The 9,150-nt window shown below is 49.4% G+C and overlaps 1 long non-coding RNA gene across 1 annotated transcript; it reads left to right on the plus strand.

The window, feature by feature from the left end:
• Positions 1-427: 427 nt before the first annotated feature.
• On the plus strand, positions 428-8,671 carry LOC124904428 (uncharacterized). The gene is made up of 2 exons (XR_007066636.1): positions 428-920; positions 6,450-8,671. It is a non-coding gene; the product is annotated as an uncharacterized LOC124904428 (long non-coding RNA).
• The last annotated feature ends 479 nt before the right edge of the window (positions 8,672-9,150 follow it).

Here is a 9,150-nt window from a genome sequence, read left to right on the forward strand (position 1 = left end):
GCAGGCAGCTCCACCTGCAGCCCTGATGTGGGATCCACTGGGTGAAGCCAGCTGGGCTCCTAAGTCTGGTGGGGACGTGGAGAACCTTTATGTCTAGCCCAGGGATTGTAAATACAGCAATCGGCACTCTGTATCTAGCTCAAGGTTTGTAAACACACCAATCAGCACCCTGTGTCTAGCTCAGGGTTTGTGAATGCACCAATCCACACTCTGTATCTAGCTACTCTGGTGGGGACTTGGAGAACCTTTGTGTGGACACTCTGTATCTAGCCCATCTAGTGGGGAGGTGGAGAAACTTTGTGTCTAGCTCTGGGATTGTAAATGCACCAATCAGTGCCCTGTCAAAACAGACCACTTGGCTCTACCAATCAGCAGGATGTGGGTGGGGCCAGATGAGAGAATAAAAGCAGGCTGCCGGAGCCAGCAGTGGTAACCCGCTGGGGTCCCCTTCTACACTGTGGAAGCTTTGTTCTTTGCAATAAATCTTGCTACTGCTTACTCTTTGGGTCCACATTGCTTTTATGAGCTATAACACTCACCGCGAAGGTCTGCAGCTACACTCCTGAAGCTAGCGAGACCATGAGCCCACTGGGAGGAAAAAACAACTCCAGACGCGCTGCCTTAAGAGCTGTAACACTCACCGCGAAGGTCTGCAGCTTCACTCCTGAGCCAGCGAGACCACGAACCCAACAGAAGGAAAAATCTCCGAACACATCCAAACATCAGAAGGAACAAACTCCAGTGCGCCACCTTAAGAGCTGTAACACTCACCACGAGGGTCCGCGGCTTCATTCCTGAAGTCAGTGAGACCAAGAACCCGCCAATTCCAGACACGTTTTGGCAACCCAGATGGGACTTTCGCCTATCGCCAAGTGGTGAGACAATCGCCGAGCAGTGAGACCATCGCCTATTGCTGAGCAGTGAGTACCATCGGACCCCTTTCACTTGCTATTCTGTCCTGTCTTTCCTTAGAATTTGGGGGCTAAATACCGGGCACCTGTTGGCCAGTTAAAAGCGACTAGCATGGCCGCCGGACTAAAGACATGGGTGTCAGGCTTTCTGGGAAAGGGCTCTCTAACAACCCCTGACTCTTCTTCGGAGTTGGGACCGTTTGCCTAGAACCAGCTTCCACTTTTCCTGTACTTCTGGGCTGAGCCGAGGGTCGACAGAGAGGAAAGACATGCAGCTCCGGGGTCCCAACAACAAGTTGGTTGACCCTGCGGTCATGAGCGGAACTCTCAAAGGCATGTTGCCCAAGCGAGACTCACCCATCTATCCTATCTATCCTGACCCTTGCCCCCTGGGTCCTAATGCCTTCCAGACAAACTTCCTTTTGCCTCTCTTCTCTGAGGTTAGGCCCACTTCTAAAAATTGCTACCTGTCTCTGGTGCTTTTCTAGTTTCTCCTATAAGAATGATTTCTAGTATAAACTCCAGGACTCTTGTTACCTTCTTTAGGCACCCAGGCTCACCAATCAGAAAGACATAATTTTTGCCCAAAGCCCCATCGTAGTGGGGACTACCTGGAATTTTAGGATCCCTCCTCAGACTAACAGGCCTAATAAAAGCTATTCCTGAAGCTAGGATATGGGGAGCCTCAGAAATTGTATCCTTCCTATTCATATAAGTGAGGACAAAAGGTGTCACTCTTCCAACCCTGAAGATCCCTTCCCTCCCTCAGGGTATGGCCCTCCGCTTCATTTTTGGGGCATAACATCTTTATAGGAAAGGGGTAAAGTCCCAATATGAACAGGAGAATGCTTAGGACTCTAACAGGTTTTCGAGAATGCGTCGGTAAGGGCCACTAAATCCGATTTTTCTCAGTCGGTCCTCCCTGTGGTCTAGGAGGACAGGCAAGGGTGCAGGTTTTCGAGAATGCATCAGTAAGGACCATTAAATCAGATCTTCCTTGGTCCTCCGTGTGGTCTGGGAGGAAAACTAGTGTTTCTGCTGCTGCGTTGGTGAGCACAAGTGTTCCGATCAGCAGGGTCCAGGGACCATTGTGGGTTCTCGGGCAGGGGGAGAAACAAAATAAGCCAAAATTGTGGCTGGTTTTGTCTTTCAGATGGGAAACACTCAGGCATCAACAGGCTCACCCTTGAAATGCATCCTAAGCCATTGGGACCAATTTGACCCAAAAACCCTGAAAAAGAGGCAGCTCATTTTTTTCTGCACTGCGGCTTGGCCCCAATATTCTCTCTCTGATGGGGAAAAATGGCCACCTGAGGGAAGTACAAGTTACAATACTATCCTGCAGCTTGACCTTTCCTGTAAGAGGGAAGGCAAATGGAGTGAAATACCTTATGTCCAAGCTTTCTTTTCATTGAGGGAGAATACACAACTATGCAAAGCTTGTAATTTACATCCTACAGGAGGACCTCTCAGCTTACCCGCATATCCTAGCCTCCCTATAGCTCCCCTTCCTATTAATGATAATCCTCCTCTAATCTCCCCTGCCCAGAAGGAAATAAGCAAAGAAATCTCCAAAGGACTACAAAAACCCCCAGGCTATCGGTTATGTCCCCTTCAAGCTGTAGGGGGAGGGGAATTTAGCCCAACCCGCGTACCTGTCCCCTTCTCCCTCTCTGATTTAAAACAGACCAAGGCAGACCTGGGGAAGTTTTCAGATGATCCTGATAGGTACATAGATGTCCTACAGGGTCTAGGGCAAACCTTTGACCTCGCTTGGAGAGATGTCATGCTACTGTTAGATCAAACTCTGGCCTTTAATGAAAAGAATGCGGCTTTAGCTGCAGCCCGAGAGTTTGGAGATACCTGGTATCTTAGTCAAGTAAATGATAGAATGACAGCCGAAGAAAGGGACAAATTCCCTAACGGTCAGCAAGCCATCCCCAGTATGGATCCCCACTGGGACCTTGACTCAGATCATGGGGACTGGAGTCGTAAACATCTGTTGACCTGTGTTCTAGAAGGACTAAGGAGAATTAGAAAAAAGCCCATGAATTATTCAATGATATCCACCATAACTCAGGGAAAGGAAGAAAATCCTTCTGCTTTCCTCGAGTGGCTACAAGAGGCCTTAAGAAAATATACTCCCCTGTCACCCGAATCACTCAAGGGTCAATTGATTCTAAAAGATAAGTTTATTACCCAATCAGCCACAGATATCAGGAGAAAGCTCCAAAAGCAAGCCCTGGGCCCTGAACAAAATCTAGAGGCATTATTAAACCTGGCAACCTCGGGGTTCTATAATAGGGACCAAGAGGAACAGGCCCAAAAGGAAAAGCAAGATCAGAGAAAGGCTGCAGCCTTAGTCATGGCCCTCAGACAAACAAACCTTGGTGGTTCAGAGAGGACAGAAAATGGAGCAGGCCAATCACCTGGTAGGACTTGTTATCAAGTGTGGTTTACTAGGACACTTTAAAAAAGATTGTCCAATGAGAAACAAGCTGCCCCCTCGTCCATGTCCACTATGCCGAGGCAATCGCTGGAAGGTGCACTGCCCCAGAGGACAAAGGTTCCCTGGGTCAGAAGCCCCAAGTAGATGATCCATCAACAGGACTGAGGGTGCCCGGGGCAAACACCAGCTCATGTCATCACCCTCACTGAGCCCCGGGTATGTTTAACTATTGAGGGCCAGGAAATTGACTTCCTCCTGGACACTGGTGCGGCCTTCTCAGTGTTAATCTCCTGACCTGGACGACTGTCCTCAAGGTCCATTACCATCCAAGGAATCCTGGGACAGCTTGTAACCAGGTATTTCTCCCACCTTCTCAGTTGTAATTGGGAGACTTTGCTCTTTTCACATGCCTTTCTTGTTATGCCCGAAAGTCCCACACCCTTATTAGGGAGGGATATATTAGCCAAGGCTGGAGCTATTATCTACATGAATATGGGGAACAAGTTACCCATTTGTTGTCCCCTACTTGAGGAGGGAATCAACCCTGAAGTCTGGGCATTGGAAGGACAATTTGGAAGGGCAAAAAATGCCTGCCCAGTCCAAATCAGGTTAAAAGATCCCACCACTTTTCCTTATCAAAGGCAATATCCCTTAAGGCCTGAAGCTCATAAAGGATTACAGAATATTGTTAAACATTTGAAAGCTCAAGGCTTAGTGAGGAAATGCAGTAGTCCCTGCAACACCCCAATTCTAGGAGTACAAAAACCGAACGGTCAGTGGAGACTAGCGCAAAATCTTAGACTCATTAATGAGGCAGTAATTCCACTATATCCAGTTGTACCCAACCCCTATACCCTGCTCTCTCAAATACCAGAGGAAGCAGAATGGTTCACGGTTCTGGACCTCAAGGATGCCTTCTTCTGTATTCCCCTGCACTCTGACTCCCAGGATCCCACAGACCACATGTCCCAACTTACGTGGACAGTCTTGCCCCAAGGGTTTAGGGATAGCCCTCATCTGTTTGGTCAGGCACTGGCCTAAGATCTAAGCCACTTCTCAAGTCCAGGCACTCTGGTCCTTCAATATGTGGATGATTTACTTTTGGCTACCAGTTCGGAAGCCTCGTGCCAGCAGGCTATTCTAGATCTCTTGAACTTTCTAGCTAATCAAGGGTACAAGGTGTCTAGGTTGAAGGCCCAGCTTTGCCTACAGCAGGTTAAATATCTAGGCCTAATCTTAGCCAGAGGGACCAGGGCCCTCAGTAAGGAATGAATACAGCCTATACTGGCTTATGCTTGCCCTAAGACATTAAAACAGTTGAGGGGGTTCCTTGGAATTACCGGCTTTTGCTGACTATGGATCCCCGGATACAGCGAGATAGCCAGGCCCCTCTATACTCCAATCAAGGAAACCCAGAGGGCAAATACTCATTTAGTAGAATGGGAACCAGAGGCAGAAACAGCCTTCAAAACCTTAAAGCAGGCCCTAGTACAAGCTCCAGCTTTAAGCCTTCCCACAGGACAGAACTTCTCTTTATATGTCACAGAGAGAGCCGGGATAGCTCTTGGAGTCCCTACTCAGACTCGTGGGACAACCCCACAACCAGTGGCATACCTAAGTAAGGAAATTGATGTAGTAGCAAAAGGCTGGCCTCACTGTTTAAGGGTAGTTGCAGCAGTGGTCGTCTTAGTGTCAGAGGCTATCAAAATAATACAAGGAAAGGATCTCACTGTCTGGACTACTCATGATGTAAATGGCATACTAGGTGCCAAAGGAAGTTTATGGCTATCAGACAACTGCCTACTTAGATACCAGGCACTACTCCTTGAGGGACTGGTGCTTCAAATACGCACGTGCGTGGCCCTCAACCCTGCCACTTTTCTCCGAGAGGATGGGGAACCAATCGAGCATGACTGCCAACAAATTATAGTCCAGACTTATGCCACCCAAGATGATCTCTTAGAAGTCCCCTTAACTAATCCTGACTTTAACCTATATACCGATGGAAGTTCATTTGTGGAGAATGGGATACGAAGGGCAGGTTATGCCATAGTTAGTGATGTAACCATACTTGAAAGCAAGCCTCTTCCCCCAGGGACCAGTGCCCAGTTAGCAGAACTAGTGGCACTTTCCCGAGCCTTAGAACTGGGAAAGGGAAAAAGAATAAATGTGTATACAGATAACAAGTATGCTTATCTAATCCTACATGCCCATGCTGCATTATGGAAAGAATAGGAGTTCCTAACCTCTGGGAACCCCCACTGGATGCCACAGGGAAGTTACGGAGTTATTGCCCACGGTGCAGGAAACCAAAGAGGTGGGAGTCTTACAGTACCAAAGCCATCAAAATGGGAAGGAGAGGGGAGAACAGCAGCATAAGTGGCTGGCAGAGGTAGGGAAAGACCAGCGAGAAGGAAAGAGAGAAAGAGAAAGTCAGAGAAAGAGACAGAAAGAGGAAGAGACAGAGAGACAAAGTCAAAGAGGGAGTCAGAAACAGAGACAAAGAAAAGGAGTCAGAGAGAAAGAGGGACAGACACAGAAAGTTAAAGAGAGAGTTAAAAAGGGAGGAAGAGACAAAGAAGAAGTCGAAGAGAGAAAGTGACAGATGGAAGTAATAAAGAAAAAACAGTGTACCCTATTCCTTTAAAAGCCAGGGTAAATGTCTATCTACCCAGCCAAGGCATATTCTACTTATGTGGATCTTCAACCCATATCTGCCTCTCAGACAGTTTGCAAGAAATAACAAAATCTATCCTTACTTTACAATCCCAAATAGACTCTTTGGCAGCAGTGACTCTCCAAAACCACCGAGGCCTAGACCTCCTCACTGCTGCGAAAGGAGGACTCTGCACCTTCTTAGGGGAAGAGTGTTGTTTTTACACTAACCAGTAGGGGATAGTACGAGATGCCGCCCGGCATTTACAGGAAAAGGCTTCTGAAATCAGACAATGCCTTTCAAATTCTTATACCAATCTCTGGAGTTGGGCAACATGGCTTCTCCCCTTTCTAGGTCCTGTGGCAGCCATCTTGCTGTTACTCACCTTTGGGCCCTGTATTTTTAACCTTCTTGTCAAATTTGTTTCCTCTAGAATTGAGGCCATCAAGCTACAGATGGTCTTACAAATGGAACCCCAAATGAGTTCAACTAACAACTTCTACCGAGGACCCCTGGACCGACCCACTGGCACTTCCCCTGGCCTAGAGAGTTCCCCTCTGAAGGACACCACAACTACAGGGCCCCTTCTTCGCCTCTATCCAGCAGGAAGTAGCTAGAGTGGTCATCGGCCAAATTCCCAACAGCAGTTGGGGTGTCCTGTTTAGAGGGGGGATTGAGAGATGACAGCGTGCTGGCAGTCCTCACAGCCCTCGCTCGCTCTCGGCGTCTCCTCTGCCTGGGCTCCCACTTTGGCGGCACTTGAGGAGCACTTCAGCCCACTGCTGCACTGTGGGAGCCCCTTTCTGGGCTGGCCGAGGCTGGAGCCGGCTCCCTCAGCTTGCAGGGAGGTGTGGAGGGAGAGGTGCGAGTGGGAACCCGGGCTGTGCGCGGCGCTTGTGGGCCAGCTGGAGTTCCGGGTGGGCGTGGGCTTGGTGGGCCCCGCACTCGGAGCAGCCGGCCGGCCCTGCCAGCCCCGGGCAATGAGGGGCTTAGCACCCGGGCCAGCGGCTGCGGAGGGTGTACTGGGTCCCCCAGCAGTGCCAGCCCGCTGGCGCTGCGCTCGATTTCTCACCAGGCCTTAGCTGCCTTCCCATGGGGCAGGGCTCGGGACCGGCAGCCCATCATGCCTGAGCCTCCCACCCCCTCCGTGGGCTCCCAAGCCTCCCCGGTGTGTCCGGAGCCTCCCCGATGAGCACCGCCCCCTGCTCCATGGTGCCCAGTTCCATTGACCACCCAAGGGCTGGGGAGTGTGGGCGCACAGCGTGGGACTGGCAGGCAGCTCCACCTGCAGCCCTGATGTGGGATCCACTGGGTGAAGCCAGCTGGGCTCCTGAGTCTGGTGGGGACGTGGAGAACCTTTATGTCTAGCCCAGGGATTGTAAATACACCAATCGGCACTCTGTATCTAGCTCAAGGTTTGTAAACACACCAATCAGCACCCTGTGTCTAGCTCAGGGTTTGTGAATGCACCAATCCACAATCTGTATCTAACTACTCTGGTGGGGACTTGGAGAACCTTTGTGTGGACACTCTGTATCTAGCCCATCTAGTGAGGAGGTGGAGAACCTTTGAGTCTAGCTCTGGGATTGTAAACGCATTGGGATTGTAAATGCACCAATCAGTGCCCTGTCAAAACAGACCACTCGGCTCTACCAATCAGCAGGATGTGGGTGGGGCCAGATAAGAGAATAAAAGCAGGCTGCCTGAGCCAGCAGTGGCAACCTGCTTGGGTGCCCTTCCACACTGTGGAAGCTTTGTTCTTTTGCTCTTTGCAATAAATCTTGCTACCGCTCACTCTTTGGGTCCACACTGCTTTTATGAGCTGTAACACTCACTGTGAAGGTCTGCAGCTTTACTCCTGAAGCCAGCGAGACCACGAGCCCACTGGGAGGAACGAACAATTCCAGACGCACTGCCTTAAGAGCTGTAACACTCACCGCAAAGGTCTGCAGCTTCACTCCTGAGCCAGGGAGTCCACGAACCCACCAGAAGGAAGAAACTCCAAACACATCCGAACATCAGAAGGAACAAACTCCAGACGTGCCACCTTAAGGGCTGTAACACTCACCGTGAGGGTCCGCGGCTTCATTCTTGAAGTCAGTGAGACCAAGAACCCACCAATTCCGGACACAGCACCACTGCACTCCAGCCTGGGTGACAGAGCGAGACCCTGTCTCAAAAAACAAAAAACCACAGATTGCTGGGCCCCACCCCCAGAACTTCTGTGTTGGGAGCAGGCCCCCCAAAATCTGGCCATAAACTGGCCCCAAAACTGGCCATAAACAAAATCTCTGCAGCACTGTAACGTGTTCATAATGGCCCTAACGCCCAAGCTGGAAGATTGTGATTTTATGGGAATGAGGGCAAGGAACACCTGGCCTGCCCAGGGCGGAAAATGCTTGAAGGCGTTCTTAAGCTACAAACAATAGCATGAGCGATCTGTGCCTTAAGAACATGCTCCTGCTGCAGTTAACTATCCCAACCTATTCCTTTAATTCGGCCCATCCCTTCGTTTCTCACTTTTTAGTTAATTGAATATCCATAGAAACAATGCTAATGACTGGCTTGCTGTAAATAAATACGTGGGTAAATCTCTGTTCGGGGCTCTCAGCTCTGAAAACTGTGAGACTCCTGGTTTCCCACTTCACACCTCTATATTTCTGTGTGTGTGTCTTTAATTCCCCTAGTGCTGCTGGGTTAGGGTCTCCCTGACCGAGCTGGTCTCGGCACTTCTGATTTCGTAGGTCTAGGTTGGAGCCTGAGATTTTGCATTTTAAGAAGTTCTCAGAAGATGCTGATGCAGCTGGTCCAGAGAATCACTGCTTTAAGCAATCACATTTAATTCTTAGCAGTCCTTTTAATGGATATTTTTGTCTCCATTTTGCAGATGAGAAAACTGAGATTCAGGAGTTTAAATAATTTGCCTAATGACACACCCTACTCAGGGAGGGCTGGAATGTGGACCCTGGTAGGTCTGATGCCAAACTCTTGCTCTGTCCACTGCACTGTCCTGTAAGAAAAAGGGAATAAATCACACTTTGGGGGTTTCTCTGAATCATATGGCTCCAGAAAACATGAAACAATGCCTAACACCAGTGTAGTGCTTTTAATCTTTAAGAGGTTAGCAATAATAA

The sequence above is a fragment of the Homo sapiens genome, chromosome 1 (genome assembly GCF_000001405.40).
Source record: "Homo sapiens chromosome 1, GRCh38.p14 Primary Assembly".
Classification (NCBI taxonomy): Eukaryota; Metazoa; Chordata; class Mammalia; order Primates; family Hominidae; genus Homo; species Homo sapiens.